Source organism: Homo sapiens, chromosome X (genome assembly GCF_000001405.40).
Source record: "Homo sapiens chromosome X, GRCh38.p14 Primary Assembly".
NCBI lineage: Eukaryota > Metazoa > Chordata > Mammalia > Primates > Hominidae > Homo > Homo sapiens.
Window position 1 is genome coordinate 108,412,736 of NC_000023.11, and position 25,945 is coordinate 108,438,680.

At 38.2% G+C, this 25,945-nt stretch overlaps 1 protein-coding gene across 15 annotated transcripts in view; it reads right to left on the reverse strand.

Moving 5' to 3' along the window:
• The window catches only part of COL4A6 (collagen type IV alpha 6 chain), a 283,845-nt gene that overhangs the window by 257,122 nt on the left and 778 nt on the right, over positions 1 to 25,945 (reverse strand). For 8 of the 15 annotated variants that reach the window (XR_001755650.2, XM_047441813.1, NM_001847.4 and 5 more), the window contains exon 2: positions 25,207 to 25,258. Coding sequence is in view for 14 of the 15 variants with exons in the window: in XM_047441813.1 (XP_047297769.1) it covers positions 25,207 to 25,258 (52 nt within the window). In the remaining variant the exon portion in view is untranslated. Of the gene's footprint in view, positions 1 to 25,206; positions 25,259 to 25,450; positions 25,688 to 25,945 lie in introns of those variants that run through there. The other 7 variants (NM_001287760.2, NM_001287759.2, NM_033641.4 and 4 more) reach the window with 1 other exon arrangement.

Sequence of the window (25,945 nt, forward strand, 5' to 3'; positions counted from 1 at the left end):
AATGAACCAAGCAGGTACACACCTGCCAGCTGAACAACCACTGCATAACAAAGGCATTTCCCTGACCCAGGTGAAAACACATTTAATTTCATATTCCAGCTAATTCAACAAAATTTTGGCACAAATAAAAAAATCAACACAGCCTGGAGTCCCATGTAATTGATTTGGGGTATGCATGCCAAAGAATCAAAGGTGAGGAAGTGAGTTTCTTTCAAAAGGTCTTGTTGGTCATTGCTCTACAGTCTATATCATTTGACTCATTTGCTCTTGTTTGAAGAAAGCTGAAGGTAATACCTTGCTGTGGAATTTGGAAGAGTAGGTTATAGACCCTTAATGTTTAGTATTCTTAAAGGCACACAGCAGGATTGCTACACTAGTTAAAGTAATATGAAGTAAAAAGGCTTTATTTGGTGCTAGAGAGTTAGCATCACAGTCCCACACAAAATTAGGGTACAAAAGTGTGAATCTCCAAATGAGATTACTGATGCCAAAATTCAGGTGTAAGAAGATGATAGATTTAATCTTAACATATTTTAAAAGAATGAAAAGAATCTGTTGGATAGAATTTAGCCAATGGATTGTCTGGCTTACAGAGTTAATCATAACACTGGCGTCTAGTGTCATTCCAGTCCATGTGAGCTGATTCAGCATGTTCTTTAGGATCCAAAAGGAAAAGATAACCTGACAGGTCATCAGAAGCATTTCTTTTTTCTTTTCTTTTCTTTATTATTATTATTTTTTCTGACAGAGTCTCGCTCTGTCGCCCAGGCTGGAGTGCAGTGGCGCGATCTCGGCTCACTGCAAGCTCTGCCTCCCAGGTTCACGCCATTCTCCTGCCTCAGCCTCCTGAGTAGCTGGGACTACAGACACCTGCCACCACAGCCGGCTAATTCTTTGTATTTTTAGTAGAGACGGGGTTTCACCGTGTTAGCAGTATTCAGTCAGTTTCCACTGCTTTGATGGAAACAGGATGTGCTGGCCTTACCTGGCTTCTAGACAGTCCAGTTAGAACTGGTTTCCCAGCCTTGGTCCCTGGTACTCTGGAGAGTCACAAAGACTGAAGGCAATGTAGGAGTTAAACATCTATTACTACTGGTTTTCAGACACAGTGTGGATAATATCTGGTGGTTCTCATCGGTGCAGAGCTTTTCAGAACCATAACATCCTCAAGAGACACTAATTAAAGGTTTCATTCTCTCCTCATGTCATTTGTTACAAAATGCAGGTTGAGGGTTAAGTCTATGGCCACTGCACAGAGCAAAGCGAAATTCATAGAGACATGGAAAATGCAGTGTATGATGATTTTTAATGGAACTCTCTAATCAAACCTCTGAGTTATGCTCAGTAGTCAGTGACTAATAGGTTGAAGAGGAAAAGATTATATTCAATCTGCCTGTTAACTAAAAGACTTTAATCAATTTCAGAGGAAAATGCTCTGAGGCAGAAAGAAACATAATAGGGCAGTGATCTAATCTCTCAGAAAGCTTGATGCCATTTTGTACTTTCTGTCTCCAGTTAGGAAGATGCGAATGCTGAGACCATTCCTAAGTGTATTCTACATAAGTGTTGAGGAAGAAGAGGGTCATTTTGCTCAATGGACCACACATGTCCTTGGCTATGAACTGTTGAAACCTAAATCTCCCAATATGGTTGTATTTCACCATACCAAAACATCTGGAGAGCCTTGTTGAGAGGTTATGGCAAGTCTGTGGGTTCAAAATCCTGCTCTTCTCTCCAAGAAAATAAATAAAATCCTACCCCTGGCTGGACACAGTGGCTCATGCCTGTAATCTCAGCACTTTGGGAGGTCAAGGTGGGAGGATTGCTTGAGTCCAGGAGTTTAAGACCAGCCCTGGCAACATAGCGAGACCCTGCCTCTCTCTCAAAAAAAAAAAAAAAAAGAAGAAGAAGCTGAGCATGGGGGTGCACACCTGTAGACCTAGCCACTCAGGAGGCTGAGGTGGAAGGATCACTTGAGCCTGGGAAGTTGAGGCTGCAGTGAACCATGGTTGTGCCACTGCACTCCAGCCTGGGCAACAGAGTGAGATCCTGTCTCAAAAACAAAAAGAATAAAAGAAAAAATAATCCAACCCCTAGCCTACAGCAGCACTGGTGAAAACAAAACATGTCTTTGAACCATATTAGGATCATGGATCACCAGTTTGTAACAGCTAGTCTACACTATAGTTATTAGAGGATTTCAGATAAATGTAAGATTAATGGAGGCCAGAGCAGTCATAGTACAATTTGTGGAGGTAGTGCAATTTGAAGGTACCTTGGCAGAAAAGTAGGATTTCTCTTCTCTCCAACTAATTCCTTTAATGTAAACATACTTTTAAAAGGTCTACAAATATCATCCTCTCCATACCCACCATTCTCTATTAGCAAATATCTACACATAGCTGAATTAATTTGGAATCAGGAAAGCATATCTCTTTCCTACCTACAGGATTTATGAAAGAATGAGGGAGATCAGTAAGCCATTGTTTCATGTGGCAACTCAAATTTCACTTCCTCCGAAAAAACTTTCCTGTTTACCCTGGTCCCAAATGGGCTCTCCCTTCAATCACCCCAACTGACTACTGTAAAATGTAATGCCTATATTATTTATTTGGTTCACACAGGAAGCTTGTATTAGAGGAAGAGGAATGTACTAGGTCACAGGATGGGCAAGAAGAACAGGAAATGCAGAATTATGGGAAGACCAACTGATTCAACTTGTGGCTTTGTAAATGGTTATTTTATCTGTTAGCAAGTTAATAACTTAATATCATTAAGCCTCAGTCACTTCCATCTACAAAATGGGTATATAATCCCTACCTATCTGATATAACTGGTAAGTAGTTCAATTCAGATAATATATATAAATACTCTAAACACAAGTTTAAAGGAAATATCCTTATCATTCATCATTCCAGCCTGTGAGAATGAGTTTCTTAAAGTTCACTCTGGAAGAATGATCAACCTTTCAATTTACTAGTTGCAAAAAGCAACTCTTACTATGAATTATTCATTGCTGCTAGTAGCCTTAAATGATGAGAATTTATAAATAACACATTTTGAGCTGCATACTGAAGATAAGGTTTATGCAAAGGAGATCTGACTATATTGTTCAGGCTTCACCTGGCAAACAACAACACTGAAGACCAAAGAGGGTAACCAAATAAGCACAGGAAAAATAAAGTAGCTGGTGACGCTGAATGAAAGGGAAGTGGTTACCTCCAGGAGGATTTAAGCCAAAATATCTGCCATAGGACTTGAGTCCACAGACTTGTAGTCTCCACTGTGACTTAAGTAAATGTTTGGCATGGGTATCTTCCTAGCAACCATTTGTATATTCTTTCCCATTCATCCTCGCTGCTTCTTCTTACTCCCACTGACAAAGCAGTGAAGGTTTATTGTTAAAAACAGGAGATTTGGGCTTAGTCAGACATTGGTTTAAATCCCAGTTCTGCCACTTGCTAGCCTTTGACCCTCCACAAACTATTTAACTTTTGAGTCTCAGGTTTCTCATTTGCAAAATGGAATAATAATATTATTTATAGCATAAAGTCTGGCAAGCAGTGTATGCTGAAAAAGCACCAGTTATAATTATTAGAGTAGAAAATAAACAATTTGTTACAGCACTCCTTGTAAACTCACCCCAATCATGTTCCCTGCTCCAAAACTATCTTTTATCTTTTTAAAAACAGCCTGAGTGAAATCCTCAGCAAAAATGTTTTTAAAAATCTATTTTTCACTAATGTGGAAATTACTTGTACTTCCTAGACATGTATGGAATTTAGGATAATGTCTAGGAGTATCAGTGGCCAAAGGAATGTTTCTACAATAGTTTACTTTTAGACAGTGTGTGATCATTGGTAGGAAAATATTTGGGGCCCTTCTGTATTAGGGAGTTCCTAAGATTTAGATAGAAATTACACAGCTTAATGAATAACCACATACTAACCTGCTGCAAGACGTACCTGAAATTTATTGTATTCTTTTAGCTCTTTATCCATTTAAGTACAAAATCTAACAAGCCAAGTTACTGCATTTTTTAAGTGCCTATGGTGTGCCTGATACCTTGTTGGGTGTAGAAGGGCACAATCAATGAGGATTAAGATCTATCTCCCTATTAACTGGTAAACAAAGATGACTGTACTTTTCACACTTAGAGAAGAGTCAAGATTCAATATAACAATAGTAGAAGGTAATATGAAGAAGACTTATACCTTGATGAATTAAGAAATATTTGAGCCTCCATTTCCTCATCTAAAGTTCACTTAATACTCTATTTTCCTTTCTTATTTCATTGTGTTCCTGACAGGATCAAATGAGATCACATGTGTAAAAGAGACTGTGTTAACTGTGTACAAATATTAGATGCTGATGAAGTATTGATACTGCAATATGGGAATGAATGTTATAGCAGTAGCAACCTACTGCAAGATGGGAAAGGAGAAACTGCCCATATGAACTGGAAGCAGATGGACTCCAGGAGCTTCCACCAAAGGACTCTGCCTGATATCAGCAGCACCACAAGCACACATGAAGAAGAAACCTACCACCCTACTGCGTTTGGGTGGTGGTGAGGATGAAGTAAAAAATGTAAATAAGGTTCTTAGTACAATAACTGGCATATAGTATTATCATCATCCTTTTGCCACTGTTATCATATTAGTAGTAGTAGTATTAGTAGTAGCAGTAATTAATGTACATAGAATGGCCTAAACTATGTTCTTGTTCTTTCACAGTTCTGAAAGAAACTGAAAGCATTAGTAAGTTTCTATTCTGAAGTCAGTTTAGAAGCCTCTTACTGCCACTGAATAACCTGTGTATCAGTAGTCTGGAGCCTTCTTTCTACCAAATTATTGTTCTTTGTAATATAGGTATAATTTTTAATGTTCAGCTCTGCATGAGAAAAATAAACTGTTGTAAATTTCAATGTTTATTAATTAAGACAAATATATAGAGAATATTGTTTTACTTACATAGTATGAAAACCCGATACAGCATCCTACCTAGATTGGGAAACAGGCTTCTATACCATACATGTATTTTGTTTCATAAAATTATCAAATATTCTACATTCTTCCCTTAGAGTGGTATTTCTCATCCTTCAGAGAACTCTAAGGAACTCTAGAATGGATTCATGAACCTATTTGAGAAACACTGACATAAGAAAGTTAAATCATATTATGGAAATGTGTTTTGGTGATGCATTGCCATTTTAAAAAACAAGTACTGGTAAAATAATTCAACCTGAGTAAGAGTGAACACTCAAAAGGAGTGTTACCATTTTGATATTAAAACAATGTTTCTTAAACTTAAGAAGTGTTAGATCACCAAGAACATATTTGCAGACACCCAAATGTTGCAGACCATAGTTGAGAAGCAATGGTGCTTTTCTAGCTTCTAAGTGATTTGACATAACGAATAGGTGTTAATAGAAGGATGCTGTCTGACTGCCTCTAAGAATATCTTAGGAAATTGGTTGATATCTGTGGCTGAGCTATGCTAATGGCATGAATACTTTGGATATTATTTTCAAGTGGTTTGAATAAATTCTCTTTCCTTATGTAAAATCCTAACACTTATACCTGTGGTTGCCCTGGAAAGTGAAAAATAATTAAAAAACAGTTCACAGACATGAAATGCAAACGATTATGATAATCTTCATAAAGGTCTCATAGCAGATTGGCCACAAGTTGATAACTGTTGAAGCTCAGTGATAGGAACACTGTTTACTCTGCTTCATTTTGCACAAAATTTTCCACGAGAAAAAAAAATCAACCTGATAGCTACATAACTACAAGAAATAACTCTGTAAGAAAATGTTATGGAAAATGTCTCTATCATGGCAGATATACCATAAGTAAAACTGGCTTTGACTTTGCACTAATGGCCATTGTCCTCAGATATGTAGCTTTGTGCTTCTACATAAAATAATATTCCCAGATTTTAGTGTCAGAAGAGTAATAAAGATCACCTGATGCCAGAGGACAAACTATTAACACAATTCAGAGCATTATTCTAATAATTTCTGTGTGGCATTCTTTGACAAGTCTTCTTTTTCTTAATCTACAAATTTAAATTATTGAATCCATATAAAAACCCAATGATGTATCCTTCCACTGCATCTTGGGCAAAGGTTGGTGGTACCTGCAGATACCCTGGACCACCCGTGTGACATTTGGTTGATATCTTGACAATAACTCTGTGCCTACGTATTAAGATTTGTTTGTATACAAGATGCTGCCTTTATCATTTGTGATTTTTAGTGATAATCTCATTGGCTAGTGCCTTCTCTTAAGCCCTTACTAGTAGAAAATTTGCTTAAGACAAGAGGAATTATTGTAGAGCTTTATAGTAAACTATATATGAGAAGAATCCACAGCATATCATATAAAAAGTAACTCCAAACTGAGGCAGGTTGACATAGCATAAACATAATGCTGTCACCAGGCTATTGATTTCATTTTTAATTTTAATCCTGGAACATTGCCTGACATTCTAAATACTAGTAAGAAACAAACCTGCAATAATACAATATATACAATGCCTTATTTTAGATTGAGGTGCAGCAGGGGTGGTGAAAGTTCTTATTTATTTGAGTCTTATAGATAGGATTATATTATTGATCCATTCAGGGCCAGTTACTTGTTTGCTTCAGGCAAGAATACACACTTGTTGGCATAGGAATCCCAGGAATCTGATTTTACTACATGGAATTCATCAAAATATTCAAAAGGAGGCATTTAAATGGGAAATTCCTTCTATTCAAGATTAAAGACCAGATTCTTTTGTTACCAATTGTCTCTGGAAGTAAATTACACTGCTGTCAGTTATACAACCTTTTAAATAATAGGACGTGGCATAATAAATATAAAACAGTCTATAAGTCAGAAAACCTGAGTTCTAGTTCAGGCTCCTTTAATACTACCTTGTTACATACCCTTAAGCAAATCATTTAATCTCATTGTTATGGTCAAAGGGTCACAGAATTATAGCTATTCTATTACCATAACACTAAATAGCACAAGATGGCAGGAAAAGTCAAAAATAGATAATTTTATTGAAACAAAATTGTTCTAAGCTAATATCTTTGTCCATCGCTACAGCATACAACTGCGAGAACACCAAAGGGGTAGAAAAAATTCAAACTGAGCAAAAAAAGACCATGGTCTTGCATTAAACAATACAGACTGCAATATGCACAAAAATTAACAAATTGACAAGTTCCTTGGTTTCTGCAGGAGCAATGGAACAAGAATGAGTGAAATCGAAGGGACATGACTTAGTAAGATGTTTGAGGGAAAGGGACAGGGCTAGAGAGACCAGAGATGTCTTTCTACAGGGTGCATTAAGTGTGCAAGGGGGTCATTAGGGCTGCTCACTGAACATTTTCAGCTCTCCACCTTCAGGGCACATGGTAGGATAATACTTGATGTCCCTTAACTAGCCCCAATCAAAGCTGACCAATGGTGTATGAGAAAAAAGTGTCATATCCTTTCCAGGAATCATATTTAATTGGTGATGCAGTGTGAGACCTCCAGAACTCTCTTTCCTTCTGCCATGATAATAAGCAGTGTTCCAGATGGTGGCTGGTCCATCTAGGTCCTAGAGGGAGGACTCTGTAATGTCCCCCAGGTGACTCATTATGGACACGTAGCATAAACAAGAAGAAACTTAGGTTATTTTAAGCTACTGAGATTTGGGGAGTTGTTTGCTATGACAGCATAACCTACCCTATCCTGAAAGAATGGATGGCAGTTAGGAGTTCAAGCACTCTACCCAACAGAGGCAAAGATAGCTTGGCTGTTTTCCTCCAGGCAGTTGAGCCTCAGTAGGGGCCTTAGTGCTTCTCAGAGGATTGTGCCTTAAAATACTGTAGGATTCTATTATGAATATGAACAAAAGTATGTCACTGTTACTGGCATCTAATAGTGGACATGAAAAGATAAAGGCACAATTCAGGACAGGGCAGCCTCAGGGGACTGGTATAAATGCTTCTTCTCATTCTGCTCCAAGTAAATAGTGATTAAAAGTCATATGGCTCTTCAATGGTCCATCCAGAATAACTGGCCCCAGCCCAGCTTGAGACAAGCAGGTGTCCTTCATAATAGTGTTGACGCTTTCATTTGTCAGTCTATTTAGTAGCAGAATGAGCAAAAAGCTGAATAAACAAGCAGGGGAGAACTACATTTTTACTTTCTGAGGTCCTTAAAAGTGACCGGGCCAACAATAGTGTTACAAGCTTTAGGAGATGAAATTAAATTTATATCTCTATATAATTTAACGCTAACTAGTCTTTACCTAAATGATTTTCTCCTGAAGACTCTACAGATTACTGATACTGTCTAACCGGAACTACTAGTAGTTATAAGGCTGCTAGTAAGCTAATGAACAGCAGTGCAGGACATTGAGGCAGTATTTGCTGGCTGTCTTTTTGCCATGATCTCTGTCCATTAGCAACATCTTGAATACAGAGCTGGAAGATGATGAGATGCAACACAGTGGTATGAGGATTAATTGCTAATAACAGCTAAATTTATTGAGCGCATACAACAATCAGGTGCTTTGGGAACATTACAGCTAATTCTCACAACCACATGAGTTAGGCATTATATTTTCTAAATGAGGAGACTGGGGAATATCAAGAGAGTGCAGAAGCTAAGGGAAGGGAAATAATCTAGAAGGACAAGTGAGCCAAGAGTAAGAATCTGCAGGTAGTTCAATGAGGATAAGGATGAAAAGAAGCCATTGGATTTAGTGATGAGGAAGTGAACTTTAAGAAATTAATCTCAATGAACTGGTTAGATAGAAAGCTAGAATACAAAAAGCTAAGCAATAAATGAGTGGCAGAAAAGTATATGCACTAGCTGTAGACAATTTTTGCACGAAATCTGGTACTTTGCCAGAGATTTATCCATGTAAATCTCATTAAAGCTATGGACCTTTTCCCCAGAAAAGTCCAGACACACATCAAATTCTACATACAATTTGAGGGTGCTCATAGACCTACCTGAAACTAACTTAAGAACCCCAGGTTAGAAATGAACGATATACACCAAATTTATGATGGTGGAGGCGGGGCCATGGAAGTGGTACATAAGTGGTTTCATTTGCATTGGCAGTGTTTTACTTCTTAAGCTGGGTGATGGTCATATATGTGTTCATTATGTTACTTTATGTCATATTCATATAAATGATATTATAGCTTTTTGTTGCCTAAAATATTTCATACTAATTTTTAAAATAGAAAAATGGCTACATAGCATAACATCTTTGTTTGAAGAATGCACATTAAAGTATTTGAGGGTAATGTGGCATCATATTGGCAACTTATTCTCCAATAGTTATAAAAAACAAAACGGGCCTGGTGCTGTGACTCATGCCTGTAATCCCAGCACTTAGGAAGGCTGAGATGGGAGGATCACTTGAGCCCAGGAGTTCCCAGCTTGGGCAGACCTTGTTTCTACAAAAAATTTTTAAAAAATTAGCTGGACATGGTGGTGCATGCCTGTAGTCCCAGCCATATGGGAGGCTGAGGTGAATGGATCGCTTGAGCCCAGGAGTTCCAGGCTGCAATGAGCTATGATTATGCCACTTCACTCCAGCCTGGGCAATAGAGCAGGACTCTGTCTAAAAAGAAAGAAAAAGGAAATAAAAATTTGTACTATACTTGAAACTATTCTGTAATTTTGAAACTGTTTCAAAATGTTACAAAGACAGTAAGAGACAGCACTAAAAGGAAAACAAATTGACAAACAAAAATCCATAAATGAACACATACTCTCGAAGGAATTCAGGAGGGCACAACCAAACTTCCAGAGGAATATACACATAGAAATGTATAGAGAGATCCTTTGAAATACAGAAAGGAACTGCCACCAATCTGACTCTAAAACGCAATGTTTTAGGTCAAAAATCTTCTCCCTGCTGACTTATACTCTGAAAACTAAAAGTCCATGGACAAAGAAGGAGCAATCTCAGCACCTTTGGCTATCCTAGCCGTTAGGTTGAATGGGAGCCTCAACCTACTTTCATGGTTTCAAGGACTGGAAAGTTTAGGCTGAGGGCTCAAAACAGGTGCTGGACATCAAAACAGGGAAAGCTACAGGTCTCTTCTAACATGACCATTGTGCCTTCCATTCTTCCAGTAGTCCTAGGTTGGGGTGCAGTAGAGGGATTTGGCAGGACAGAAAAACAGAAGAATTTGGAAGTTTAAGGATTGCAGCTGCAAACTCCCTGACACAGAATATACTGTTGGAAGAGTCTCATCACTTCACTAAGATATAAAACTGAGAAAATGATGTTTTTGCCTTTAGTTTGCGATTTCTTTAATTCTTCAGACAACAAAACTGAAAATCTTACTAAATTTGATGCCCACTATGTCAGTTTCAAATCTTGTCTTCTAAGTTTCCTTTGAGGGAAGAATGCTTAAACAAATGGCAATAAACACATAGAAAATTTACAAGGCAAAACGTTATGTGATGTGGTGTACTGTGAGAACTAGATTTGGCAATTGACCAGTTAAATGTGAGAAACATGCTTCCAATGGACAGAAATCAAATGGTTGGCATCAAGTTCTTAACAATAACCCTAACATCAACAATAATAATAGCAAATAAGATTTAATTAACACTTGCTGAGTGCCAAGAGTAATGCTAAGAGTGTTATGTGCATTATCTCTTTTAAGCATCTCAATAACTCTATGAAGTAAATCCCATTATTTCACAAATGTAACAGTGGAACACAAAAAAGTTAAGATGACTTCCTCAAGTAGAAACAGCTAGGAATGGCAAAGAAAGAACAGTTTTAAACCTCGATCTAACATTCTGGTTCCAGCACCTCACTTACAGTAACATCTCTCCAAATAGAAGCTCTCATTATTAATAACATGATTATTAAATGCACACACCTCTGACTTCTGACACCTACAAAGCACTGATTGCTATTTGGGGGAAATATTGACATGATCAAAGGTCTTTTGCTCATTGTTCTTAATGCAGGATAATTTTTTGTACATATAACTCCCTGTATCCTATATATCTAACATAGATATACTTACCAAGAGTCTACAATCTATCTTTTTATAATAAAGGCTTTCCTTTAAACACAGTCTTTACTTTTAGTTTCTTCCCTCTTAACCACTTTTATCTTTCCCCTGTTCAAGAAGTTGTAACAACACCCACATCCCCAATCAAAGCCAATTCTTCCCTCTGCCTTGAGGTTAAGGTCTCCATAGCCTGACCCTGTTCCAACTGTCCACAGTCGTTTCCCTTTACTCCATAATAATCATCCTGTGCTCTAGCTCTTCTCACTGCCCTCCACTCAACCATGTTCATCCCTGCTAGAACTGTAGTGTATGATTCTTCATAGGGTTCACTGCAAAAGAAAACCCGATTGATGGGGCAAATGGGGGCAGAAGTCCAGCCTGCTCATTGCTTACCAATGAGTGTGGCATGGCACAGAACTATGACTGCCTAGAGGAAGGAGTGCCTTTTTCTAATATCCTCAAAGATTCTGTATGGGGTGGCAGCACTCTGATTCCTCCTACATGTTTTAATTTATGCTTTCTGATCAGCCCGTCCCTCCAATATTTAATAGGACTGCATTTTGAAAGCAAAGATAAGTCATCAATCCAGATAAATACAAATATATTTGTGTATTTACTTGTTTTTCTAGAAGTTTTCTTTAGAAGAAATCATAAAATCAAGGATGTCCTGGAAAATCTAGAATATATAATATAGATATTAATTACTCATTTTCTACTATTTCTTTAAGACCCAGCAAGAATCATACTTCTGTGACGCCTTCCCTAACTACAATCCATATTGACCTCTCCCTTCTTACACCTTCTGTAGCATTTTATTCTGTCTTATGGAGTTTAATGACTGATTACCATATGATATAGTGTATTGAAACTGTGGAAGTAACTGAAATTGTGCTGTTTGAAATTTTGGCAGTTCCACAATATCAGATTTTAATTTCATTTAAAAAAACATATTTTAGGCCATACGGGGTGGCTCACGCCTGTAATCCCAGAACTTTAGGAGGCCAAGGTGGGCAGATCGCTTCTGCCCAGAGTTTGAGACGAGCCTACAAAGTGAAAACCCCATCTCTACAAAACATACAAAAATTAGCTGGGCATGGGGGACCACACCTGTAGTCCCAGCCACTCTGGGGGCTGAGGCAGGAGGATCGCTTGAGCTGGGGAGGTTGAGGTTACAATGAGTGGTGATCACACCACTGCACTCCAGCCTGGGTGACAGAGTGAGACCCTGTCTCAAAAAACCCATAAGTAAAATAAATAAATAAATAAATAACATATTTAAAAACTGTTATAAAACAAAGTATGCACCATTCAAATGGGTTACATACCAAACATTAACACACTGGAAACCAACACTGATTGTATTAATGGGTGCTGCCCAGTTAACTGTATGTGTGTGTGTGTGTGTGTGTGTGTGTGTGTGTGTGAGAGAGAGAGAGACAGAGAGACAGAGAGACAGAGAGGAGAGAGAGGAGAGAGACAAAGAGAGCGTGAATTATGTGTGCAGACCTGGAAATATAGGTTTTCTTGCTATTTCTGTTTAACTGCAGAGCATCCTGAGATAGCAAGATAAAAAAGCCCTCACCCCATGATGTTCACTATTACATCAGGATTTTCTCAACATTCTATAAAATAAACAGAAATAAACTGGAGATTAAGACTTCTATAGCTCTCAGGCCAGGCGTGGTGGCTCATGCCTGTAATCTCTGCACTTTGGGAGGCTAAGGGGGGATGGATCACGAGGTCAGGAGATCGAGACCATCCTGGCTAACAAGGTGAAACCCTGTCTCTACTAAAAATACAAAAAATTAGCCGGGCATGGTGACGGGTGCCTGTAGTACCAGCTACTCGGGAGGCTGAGGCAGGAGAAGAGCTTGAACCCGAGAGGCAGAGGTTGCAGTGAGCCGAGATCGCACCACTGCACTCCAGCCTGGGCGACAGCACAACACACACACAAACACACACACACACACACACACACACACACACCTCTGTAGCTCTCAATTTCAGATGTTTATGTTCATTTCAAGCTCTTCCTTCTTACTGACTTTATAAATTACTGTTAAAAATTTGAATTGTTAATAAATACATTGATATTTCTGGGGAGGGCATATGAGATTTAGTTTGGGGGAAAAGGGGTCTACTGTCGTAAATTTTGAAAAATGTTCTAATAGAGTGTCCCATTTTTCTTCATTATCAACAGCAACCTCAACATCAGTATCTATGAGCATGTTCTGGATATTTAGTTGCATGCTAGGTGCTAGACGGTATTTATGCAACTTAATCATATCTAAAAGACAATATAAATCTCATACATCTAAGGTTTGTTCCAGTCCTTAAGGGATCTGCTACACTCACAGAGTTTAGAAATCTAGGCATTTTAAATTTTCTTTGCCAATCCTCTTCCCTTGGGTACGGAAAAATGGTCACTCAAAGTTGTACAGAGCAAGGAAAAATATAACTAACATTAATTCCCTCCGCAAGAGAAAAATCTGTCTCCCAAAAGACCAATTCAGCCTCAGAGCCAGAGGTGCCAGACAATTCTGGGAAAGCTTGGTCTCTCTGAGGTAAATGTTGTAGAGCTTTATGACCAGGAAATTTTCCACTGAATAACACCAACTCCCCCTCAATACAAGCAAACCAGACTGAAAGATAATGGCAAACTAGCCTTATTGTTGTTAGACAAAGGGGAACTGGGACTTCAAAGATGCCTGGGGCGGTGTCTTTGGGCATAATCTTTAGTTGGGAAGCAGGTCTCTACAGGAAATCACAAAGGTAGGGCAGCAGAGGTAGAAGTGGCTTTGGGGAAACTGGAACAAGTAAAATAACAATTCTAACTCTTTTTCCCCTAGGACACTTGAAAAACAAATTCAACAAATAATTAAACAACTTTTTTTTCCTAAATTGTCACCCAAGTGGCCTCACTACCCATTTCTAGCAGAGAGGCAATCACAATGAATGAGGGGAAAATAATAACTGCAATAGTAATAATTTTACAGTTAATAATATATTTAATGATTTGTCCTAAGGCCGTAGTTAATAGTGGAGTTTGTGTTTGAACCTGGGGATATTTGGCTTTAAAGTTACAGCTTTTAATTTTTTAACCACTTCATAAAGAAATAGAAGGAGAAAAAATCAGGAAATGGACATCCAGAATTAAATACGGAACCCCCAAAAGGCTTGAGAATAGACACATGCCTCATGGCTTGCCTACATTTGATAAATGTGGAAGGACCAGATATATGCTGCAGGAGTGAGTCCTCCACGTATAAAGGGTTTGTTAGAGAACTGGACGCAAAATAAGTGGCCGGCAATAACTATAATGTCAATTACACCCCACATAGAGAGATATACGGTAGTACAGGTGTTAGGTAAATGCTCTGAGGAGTTACGGAGCAAGTAAGAGTGCAGAGCAGGTCTCTTTCCTATCCTCCATCCACATCTCACAAAGTTCTACCTCTCTCTTTCCTCTTCCCCTTCCCTGTGCTCTGGCTACAGTGGCTTAGTGCTTGACATAGTCCTTCCCACAATGGGGTTGACAACAATGCCTGGCACATAGTAGTCACTAAATAAATATTAGTTGAAGGGACGAAAAAACAGTGAGAAACAGAAAGACAAAAGAAGAGGAGACTTCAGAAAAATACTAACTTAACTTCCTAAGAGAAGAACAATATGTCCATCTGTAGAGACAGGAGGAAGGCAAGACAGAGGATGAAAAAAACAGGAGAAGCAGAAGGAGTGAATATGCACGTCCTGTTAAGCCAACATCACAAGTATAACTGTGACCTAAACATCAGCTACATGAGGACAAGACAGGAGATGGAATTGGATGGGTAGGCAGGGCCAGATCAGATACTCCATGGGTGTAGGGAGCTTCCACAAATGTTAGAGTGGCATGATCAATTTGTGTTTTAGAATAAGCTCTTTGCTTTCAGAGAGGATGGATATCAGGAAAGCCAATGAGGAGGCAGTGAAAGTCTGAAACTGGAACAGTTAGGTCTGCTGTAGGGAGTCCGGATAAGAGATGATAAAAAACTTAAATTAAAGAGATAGCACAGTAGAGTGGGCTTTAACTCTGCCATTTGTTGGGTTTGTGACCTTAGATAAATCAGTTAATCTCTCTGGGATGAGAATATTTGTCCCTCACAGGGTTGTCTTGAGCAGCTAACAAAATAATATATGATAAAGTGCTTTGTAAACTTGAAAGACTTGAAAACATATGTTACTATTATGGTGGTGAAATTGGGATAAAGAGATGAGGGGGACAACTGAGAAATATGGCCATTGTCCCCAGGGATGTCCAATCTTTTGGCTTTCCTGGGCCACATTGGAAGAAAAAGCATTGTCTTGGGCCACAAATAAAATACAGTAATACTAACAATAGCTAATGAGCTAAAAAAAAAAAGCAAATATATCTCGTAATGTTTTAAGAAAGTTTACCAATTTGTGTTAGGCCGCATTCAAAGCCGTCCTGGGCCATATGCGGCCCTTGGGGCACAAGTTGGACAAGTTTGTTCTAGACATAAAATCTACAAATGAGAGAGCCTTCTCTGATATCTCCCTTTCTCTCATCTTATCAAACATCAATTGCCAAAATTGGGAAATGATTTTTAAGTCTCTGAGGATACTGGGGGGAAAAGATGGGAGAGGAATTTAGCACCTACCTGGTGCATGGCATGTTCACATACAGCATCCACAATAATACCTCAAGAACAAAGTATAATATCATCATCCCTTTTCTGCTGATGAGAAAATTAAACCCTGGAGGAAGAGGGTCAGAAAAAAATAATTATTGGGTACTAGGCTTAGTACTGGGGTGATGAAATAATCTGTACAACAAACTCCTGTGACACGAGTTTACCTATGTAACAAATCTGCACATATGACCCCCGAACCTAAAATAAAACTTTAAAAAAAAAGATTCATGGGTTCAGGAAGGTAGAGGAAAATGTGACCAGGATGAGGAGAAGAATGGAAGTTTGTAAAATTTAAAATCCAAAAGGAATTTCTAGAAAAGAAAAATATAATATCTGAAATGAAAAAAAACACACAGGTGGTGTTAATATCAGATTAGACTCTGAAGAAGGAAAAATCAGTGAATATGAAGCTATAGACTTAGAAACTATCCAAAATGAAATATGTGCTTACCATATAGCAATCATACTCCTGGATACCTACCCAAGAGAAATGAAAACATGTTCACATGAGGACTTGAATATTCATAGCTTTGCTCATGATAATTAAGAACTGTAAACAACTTAAAAGTCTATGGACTGATGAAGAGAGAATTAACATGTGATATATCCATTCCTTTTATTACTCAGCAATAAAAGGAATGAACTACTGATACTTATAACAACATGGATAAATCTCAAAAGTGCTATGCTGATTACATTTACATGAAATTCTAGAAAAGGCAAAACTACAATAATAGGAAGCAGATCAGTGGTTGCCTAGCGTGCAGAATGAGGAGGAGGGAATTGACTGCAAAAAGTGTAAGGGAACTTTCTGGGAAATAAGTGTTTTTATTACAATTGTGGAGACAGTTATAAAACTGTATACATTTGTAAAAACTTAATATATGTTGTTGGAGGAGGAATATGGATGTGGTTATAAAAGGACAGCATGAGGGATCCTTGTTGACTTTGGTATCTTGACTGTGGCAATGGAAATCCCAACCTACACCTGTGAGGACATTGTATAGAACAAAATACACATACAAATAAGTACGAGGAAAATGAAATAAGATCAGTGAATGTTATCAATGTCAGTATCTGGGTTGTGATATTATATTATAGTATTACAACTAGGGGAAAACTGGATAAGCGTACATAGGATCTCTCTGTACTATTTTTTACAACTGCATGTGAATCTACAATTATCTCAATAAAAATTTCATTGAACACTCAAAAAGAAAAAAGAAAATTAAATCTCAGAAAGGTAAAACGAGTTACTCTAAGTCACACAGCTAGGAAGTGTCAGAGGGCAGAGGCAACATTTAGACAAAAGTCTGATTCTAGAGTGCTTTCTCTTAAACATTATACTATTGAACAGGGTTGATATTTTTCCATCAATTCAATTGTTATTGGAGTTAACATTAGTAATTTTTAAGATAGACAGGGAGAAGGCAGTTTGTTGCGAGCCATTAGGAGATGTTTACTCATTTGAAAGTCATCTCTTGATCACCTATGCTCAGCCTGGCAGTATCCTGGACATCCTAAGTACAAGGTTGAAGAATGTAACGTAGTCATATAAGCATAGGAATCTTACCACCACATGGATGTGCTACCAAAGAGGCCCAAAGCTCCTTGGAAGCACAGGAGAAGGAAGAATAAATTCATTCTGAAGAGGTCTGGAACTGTTTCATAGAAAAAATTATATTTGGTCTGGGTATTAAGGATTGAGTAGGAGTTCATTAGATAGAAAAGAAGGTAGAAACAATACAGAAGGATATTCCAGAGAGAGGGACTGCATATCCAGGGGCAAAGAGATGTGAAAGAATATAAAGTGGTTTGGGAATGGTGAGAAGTTCAGTCTGAATGAAGTGTAATATACACCATGAGTTTGGAAAGAAGGACTGGTAGGAAGAAACACACAGACATGAGGCTAGAAAAGCAGTTGGGTCAGAAAATGAAAGCCCTTAAATGTGCCAAACCAAGTAGTATGCATTTTATCCTGGAAGAAAGAAGAAACCAATAAAGGCATTAAATCAGAAGATACCATAATTGGGTTTGTTGTTAGTAAAATAACTCTAGTGGCAATGTAGAGATAAGGATGGAGTCAGGAGGTAGAAAAACCAGTCAGGAGGCTACTGATGTATGAAGTTTGAAACCAACAGAATATGAATGGAAAAGCCAGATTCTACAGATTTTTGGTAAAATTATCAAAATTTGGTGAGAATTTTGGAAATAATGAAAGCTGATGGCTGCTTCTGTAGCTTCTTGCTGAAACTTGGTGGATGGTGATGACATTTAACAAAAATAAAAAAGATCACAGCTGGTTGGAGTGTCATGGGAAGGAGAAGAAAACAATTTCACCTTTAACTATACTGTATTTGGGGCAATAAAAATAATAATAGCTGGCTTTGGCTGAGTGCCTATACTAAACTCCAGGCACTGTTTTAAGTGTTTTGTATATATCAACTAATTGAGAGACAGGTACAAGGGGTTAGTAGGCAAATGGAAACATAGATTTAGAGCTCAAAAGAGATGTCTTGGCTGGGGATATAAATTTGATAATCATCACTATATAGGAGGCATAGTTAAAACCATTGAGGCAAGAAGACAGTAAAGAATTAAGTTTTGGAAAAAATCCACCATTTTAGGACAAGAGACTGATAAAGATTATAAATTCCATAAGAGCAAAGTTCATGGCTAACTTGTTCACCACTGTGTCACTAGGGCCTGGCATACTATCTGGAATATAGCTGTTGCTCAATAAATATTTGTTGAATTAATAGCATAAATAAAAAGATCAGAGAAGTATAAGGAGAACTAGTGAGGCAAGTTTGTGTCATAATCCCAAAAGACACAATCCTGAATGCTATAATCCCAAATGTTGAAATCCCAAAGATCAAAATCCCTAAAGTCTAAATCCCTAGAGTCTAAAATCTTTAACATCTAAAATCCTGAAAATCACAATACTGAAAGATTAAAATCCCGAATGTTGAAATCCTGAAAACTGAATTCTGGGGAAGTGTGTTTTTGGTCGCAGATGGGATGGTTGTGCCATGTTAGTTGCATCATGTGAAGTGGAACTATTTCCTTGTTATTGTCTTTATTTAGAAATTAAGTATGGTTTAAGAAGATGCATAACGGGTGCCAAGTTGACAAGGGGTGGACTTGCGGACTTAATTTTAGGTTCAATTGGACTGGATTAAGGAATACCTAGAAACCCGGTAATGTATTATTTTAGGTGTGTCTGTGAGGGTGTTTCCAAAGGAGATTCATGTATGAGTCCCAGTGGATAAGCTAGGGAAGATCTGCCCTCAATGTGGGCTGGCACCATCCCATAGGCTAGAGGCTGGGAGAGAACAAACAGAGAATGCAAATTGGTCTCTCTCTGAGAGCTGGGGCAGACTTTTCTTCTGTTGCGTTGGACATCAGAAATTTGATTCCATGAACGTGTATTATCACAATGTTGACTTTCTGTGTAAGCATTGTGTGTGTATGTAAAAATGTGAAAACCTCCTCAGTGAATGAAGAGATGTCTTTTTGTACACCCGCATTTGTGAAAGATAAAATTTCTCAAGATCTTGGCTCTTTGGATGACTGCATATACGGTGGTCACCTATGGTGGTTTTTTATCTATCTTGTCAAAAGACTTTTGTTGTTCATCAAGGTATTTCAGATGACTACAGTTATAAAGCTGGATGCACACAATTACCAACCATAGTGATATGTCTTTATACATTTTCCTTTTGACCTATTTCTTTGTGAATACAGTTCAACTACTTATAACTGTCATACAAGTGTGACTGTCACTAGTATATACTAAGTGTTTATCCTTACAAAACTATGTATGTTATTATTGTCTATTTTATTATGTAAAGTGACCTTTGGAATGTTCTGTTGTGTTTTATGTTTCTCAAACAACTATCCTTTTAAAAATGTAAGTAAATATCTTTTAAATAATTTTTAAAATTACTTTTTCCAGAATATTTTTGGGATTTTGATCTTTCAGGATTTCAACATTTAGAATTATGGGATTCAGGATTATTTATTTCAGGATTATTACCAGCTCCCTAGTGAGGTATAATGTCTTAAAAAACAAGAGGAGGCCGGGTGCGGTGGCTCACGCCTGTAATCCCAGCACTTTGGGAGGCCGAGGCGGGTGGATCACCTGAGGTCAGGAGTTCAAGACCAGACTGGCTAACATGGTGAAACCCCGTCTCTACTCAAAATACAAAAATTAGCCGGGTGTGATGGCGGGCACCTGTAGTCCCAGCTACTCGGGAGGCTGAGGCAGGAGAATCACTTGAACCTGGGAGGTGGAGGTTGCAGTGAGCCAAGACTGTGCCACTGCACTCCAGCCTGGGTGACATAGTGAGACTCTGTCTCAAACAAAAAAACAAAAAAACAAAACAAAACAAAATTAAAAAAAAACAAGGGGATAAAGAAGTATCAGAGTAACTGGGAAATGTCAGATAACACAGTGAAGTCAGATAGAATGGGGACTGCAAATAAGCCATTGGGTTTGGTAATTAGGCAGCCATTAGTAGCTTGAAAGAGGGCTGTTTGCCTGGAGTAGACTCAGTTGAGACTATAATAGGTTGAAGGGTAAGTGGTTGGTGATGAAGACTAGACAATACCCAGGAACTTGGGGGTAATGCAATTGAAGAGGTTAGAGTTATTAAAGTAAATGAAGTGATTTTGTTTAAATTCATTGTTATAACGGAGGAGAATTCAATATTGTTTATAGAAGAAAAATAGAAACCCTAGGAAAGGGATAGATTAAAGAAAGAGAGTTGATAATTGCTCTTAGCTAATTTTCCCATTACTATTTTCCCTTGAGCATGCTTATCAGGTCTTCTATTTACATTTAATTAGACTTTAAACCAAGTAAAAGCCCTATGATCTGCCTCACTGGGACATTCAGGCAGCTATAAAGGACTTGATAGTTTAATATAGCCTGATGTTATCCCACGATGTTCTTTTTCTATGTGTATGTCTTGTCACCTACACAGTATAAGACAAGTCTATACTCCAAGTATATTACTGTATACTGTTTTTTCTTTCTTTTTCTTTTCTTTTTCTCTTTTTTTTTTTGACAAGGTCTAGCTCTATTGCTCAGGCTGTAGTGCAGTGGCATGATCTCAGCTCACCTGCAACCTCCAACTCCTGGGCTCAAGCCATCCTCCCACCTCAGCCTCCCAGTAGATAGGACTATAGGCGTGCACCACCATGCCCAGCTAATTTTTGTATTTTTTGTAGAGACGGAGTTTCACTATGTTGCCTAGGCTGGTCTTGAACTCATGAGCTCAAGCAATCCACCTACCTCGGCCTCCCAAACTGCTGGGATTACAGGCATGAGCCACTGCACCCAGCCATACTTTTAAGATTATTCTAACAGGGAGCTGTGGTGTGTGCCTATAGTCCCAGCTACTCAGGAGGCTGAGGCAGGTGGATTGCTTGAGGCTGTGGTGTACCATAATTGCACCTGTGGTAAAATTATGAAATAATCCATATAATTCAGGCAAATAAAAACCAATATTAATAATTGAGGTCAATCAGTTTTTTCTATTAATGAGATAATAAGGGAAACAGTATACTTTACTCCAGTCATATGGCTTGATTATGAGCTTACAGAATATAGGAGCATATTTATTGAAGACTCCAAACTATGCTTAAAAATTAAAAGATTGTTGGCACTTAGAGTCAACACAATTCCCCTCATGCCTGAACAAACATTAGAAAATGACTGTTTTTGTAAAACCAATTTTCTTAAACTAGGGGTACTTTTTTCATGCCATAGTTTGGCAGTCTAGTGAAGCCTATGGACTCCTTTTTAGAATACTATTTTTTTTTTCCTTTTGAGACAGGGTTTCACTCTGCTGCCCAGGGTGGAGTACAGTGGCTATTCACAGGCACGATGATGGTGCGTCACAGCCTCAAACTTCTGTTCTCAAGCAATCCTCCTGCCTCAGCCTCCTCCTAAGTAGCTGGGACTACAGGCACACACCACAGCACCCTGCTAGTTTTAGAAGTATACAATAAAATACATAGGATTACAATGGAAACTGATTACACTGAAATACAATCATTAAAATGTATAATAAAACAATTTTTGAAATGGTTATATATTTGCTTCTTTAGTAACACTTTAGATAATAACATCTATTATCCCCTCCTCTATCTTAAAATATATTTGAATTTCACCTATAAATAATGTAAATATATTATCATCTATGGATTATCTATTTACAGTCATTTGATGATTTACTTAATAGTGTACTCATACATTTCTATCAGTATCCTTAGTCATCCCAAGATATATATATATATATATTATATATTTATATACACACATACACACACGTATATTATATGTTGTGATTTTTCATAGCTAGCTGATATAGGATATTTGCTAGCAGGTAAAGTAGAAGAGTACTTTAAGGATTTATAGAGACACAGCCCCAGATAATGCAAATATTCCTCTTGGTCTTTAGAACTGGAAGAGATCGTCTCCATCGCTGAACTCCCTTAACATAATATTCATATATTGATGACTACTATACGACTGAAAATCACAGCAGAAAGGACCAACCTGGGCATGTTACAACTTTAAAGAAAGAAGTTGATATTTCAATCAGACCTTGATTTGAGTGCAGCTAAAGGCATTTTACCTATGCTCTCTGCAGAAGGAACAATAGAAATGTTTTCTCTCCTTACCCTCCTCCCAACCCAAATAAGTATCCCCCTAGGCTTTTGACTTTAAGTATGCTTGATTGTATTAGACCTTTTCCTGAAAGCTCATTTGGAGGGGGCAAAGTGTGAAGAAAACATAAGGATCTGACTACTTCGGGATATATGTTTTTTCCTAGATATATTGGCTGATGGTGAGATTTGTATCTTTCTAGACATTTCGCTAACACGATGCAAGTACATGTAGATAATAACTTATCATTAAGCATCCTATCTTCTAAGGAACATAATGACCACCATTGTCTGAGAAAGCAAATTCCTAGAGAGTTAGGAACTATGTTTAAATAAATCTTTGCATGCTGTGCGTGGCCTAGCACAGCCCCTTAGATAGTTAGGCGCCTAACAGCCAAAGACATGGATGTTCTGAGATCCTAGATTCTATTTTATGCAGATAAATTGTGCAAATATTTCACCTGAATGAAGATCATTACTCCTTTAAAGTAAATTTAATGGAAGCTCATTCTTTAACATGGATTTTAACATTTAGTTTTCCTTTACTTTATATAGATGTGCTTTGTAAACTCAGGAAAAGAAAGAGCCCAAAAGCCCCTAAATGACCCAATCTTTAAATGCTTGCCAATATTATTGGCAGCTTAATTCTCACAGTAAAGAGACTTTCTCATAGCAAAACACAACATAGTTCCTGCCAATCTATTTTTAATAGCTATTTTCGTTAATATTAGTCAAACATGGCACAGAGAATTTAAATGTTTAAAACAATCCAAAGGGTGAAAAACACACAAACTCATGAGGATAAACTGGAATTGAGTGTAGAATACGAGAACCAGCCCGTATAGATAAGAATCCCGTGCAAAGAGTGTAAAAGAAAAACAAAACAACCCTTCAGAAAAGTCATCTTCTGATAACTTATTCTGTGACTGTCTTTATATTTGTCATTTTCCCCAAAACTGAAAAAAAGTAGCTTTACAATGTCAAAGATATTTTGCATAAGTAAACAACAAGTGAAGGAAGTGGCTGTGTACTTAAATAAGTCAAAAAATAAAGTATTATCTGTGGAACTCAAGGTCAATTTTAGACTTACCATGGTCAATCATACTGACATAGCAGGTGACATAAAACAATGAGACAGAGTCTAAAACTCATACACCAAAGCAGTGCTTAATTTTGGAGACTCATTTCAATACTTGAAAGAATTGCAAGCATTAAAGTGGTTTTTAAAGGTATTAAGTGACAGGATGCAGTGTTTGTGAAGTCTTCAGCTATCTGGAATGATCTGTAGTGTTTTTCCCAAAAGTACACTGAATAAAATCAGCCAGAGTCTAAAAATAAAAGTTTTGCTTGAGGGTATTCTGCCCATGCATGACACTTTTACAAGTGGCAAGATTCCTGGATGAATTGTTAACTAATCAAATCTTGGCATTTTCAATTAATGTAGTTATTGAGCCTCAAGGTAATACATAACTAAACTTGTATATTGAAGGAATAAGATGGAGAAGTACACAGAGTCTTAGATCAATATCTTTGCTTACGAAGTCCAGAATTTACTTACATAGGAACTGATATTGAGTTAAGGGGTCACAAGATGTTGGTATTCAAGTTTTCTGGCATCTTCCTCTCTTTACAAGAAAAATAGCTTCACTCTGGTATTTTCTTAAAGACATCATATGCCAAGATAAAATAATCCATTTTTTCATAAACACATTGGGTGATTTATTAGGTTGAATTACGTATGGCCCTATAATAGTATTTAAAAATATTTAAAATATTAAAAAGCAGAGCCAATCAGTTAAAATGATCAAAACCCACAAGATAAATATTTGGAATATATATTCATCTCTCATCTATATAGGGAATGGCTTTGGGTATCATTAAGAATTTTTAAAAAAAATACAGCAGTGAAATAGTACTCAACAATTGAACAACTTCGTATTCAAACTCAACAGTTTTTATTTCTGCCAGCTTAAGTAGCTAGTGAAACTGGAAAACTGCAGCATCTTTGATTATTTGGGTCACTCCATCTTTGTGAAATTATCCTAGTAATTCCACTGGAGATTTCAATACTTTCTGGGACCCATTAAACTTTTCTTGACCAAAAGTCTTCAGAAATTTCTTTACCTGCAGTCCCTAGTTGATTTGATAGATGACATCTAAACAGCCTATGAAATGTTAACTTTGATTTTTTTTTCTATTATAACAGCTTTATCTTTTAACTTTCTGGTGATGCAGAAACGAGTAACACGACACATCAGACAGAAATTGAACATCACCTAGTGGTATCAGTTCAATTCAGGTAGTTAAAGAATCCAGATGTTGTCACCTGGTACTGTCAAACGACTCTAAGCATGTACTTAAGTTTCATTTCCATAGCATCTGCGGCACTTTGAAGTTCCACTCCTTGTGCTCTCCTCCCACTCTCAAACTAGTGTGCCAATTCAAGTTCTTGAAGACCAGGGAAAATTATGTTTCTTCTGCCGTGGAGATTGATGCTAGTCATCTTAAGTCGTCTGGGGAAGAGGCTCAGAAATGTGTGCATCTTGTGTCTTCCACTTTTATTTTCCCAACCCGTTACGAAGTTTTGGAAGATATCTTGGTCCCAAAAACACTGACTTGACACTGTGCTATTCCTCTCAAGAATCTCATTAACTCCCATTAGAAAGGGGAGTGGTGTGGACTCCGTCTCGTGGTGAAACTCTCTGCAACCCCCTAACATAAATACTAGAGATGGGGATGGTTAGAGGGTCAAAGGAGGGGGACGGAAAAGGGTCGTGAGAAGAGACTCACCGCTGCTGCCAGTTCCTCGGTCAGGCACAACGTAACCAGGAGCAGCCACAACCTGAAATGGGAGGGAGGGTGAGTAATGGGCTCTCTAGGCTTCGGGGTCGTGCGTCTGCCTGTCGCCCCCCGAACCCTTTTGGATGCCTGCTCCCAATTTCTCTGCAGTGACAGAAGTACCAGTATAGTCCCGGCCTGGCAAAGTAACCCGAAGTAAGAAAGAGGAGGGGAGCTCGGGGCAGCAACAGCTCACCCAGGGTGCATGCTTGCGGCTCCTCCGGAGCTGGGTCCCGGGAGACTGCTAAGCGGCTCCGCGGCCCGTGCTCATCTGGGCTCTGCTGATGCTTGGAGGCTGTTTCCTTACTCAGAACAGAGTAGGTGGACGAAGTGGCCCAGTTTGGAAGAAACTAAACACTGCTTCTAGATAAGAAGTGCTCCAAAGGGAAACAGGCTCAGCGGTGCCCGTTACAACTTGCAGCACTCAGGAGATAGTTCCATGCAGCAGGAGAGGAAAGAATGGAGGGGAAAGGGGCGGGGCTGTCTGCTGTCAATCATCCCCCCTACCTTGGGCAGCCGGTAGTCTTTCTCACTTTCAGGCACCTTTCCACACAACAGCCCTAAGTATCTCCACAGCTTCACACACAGCCCCTTAGAGACCTATACGCTAAGACCTAAGCAACTGTGCATCATATACTTTCAACTTTACTGTTAGGTTACACATAAAGAGACATAGGCATACTATTCCCAC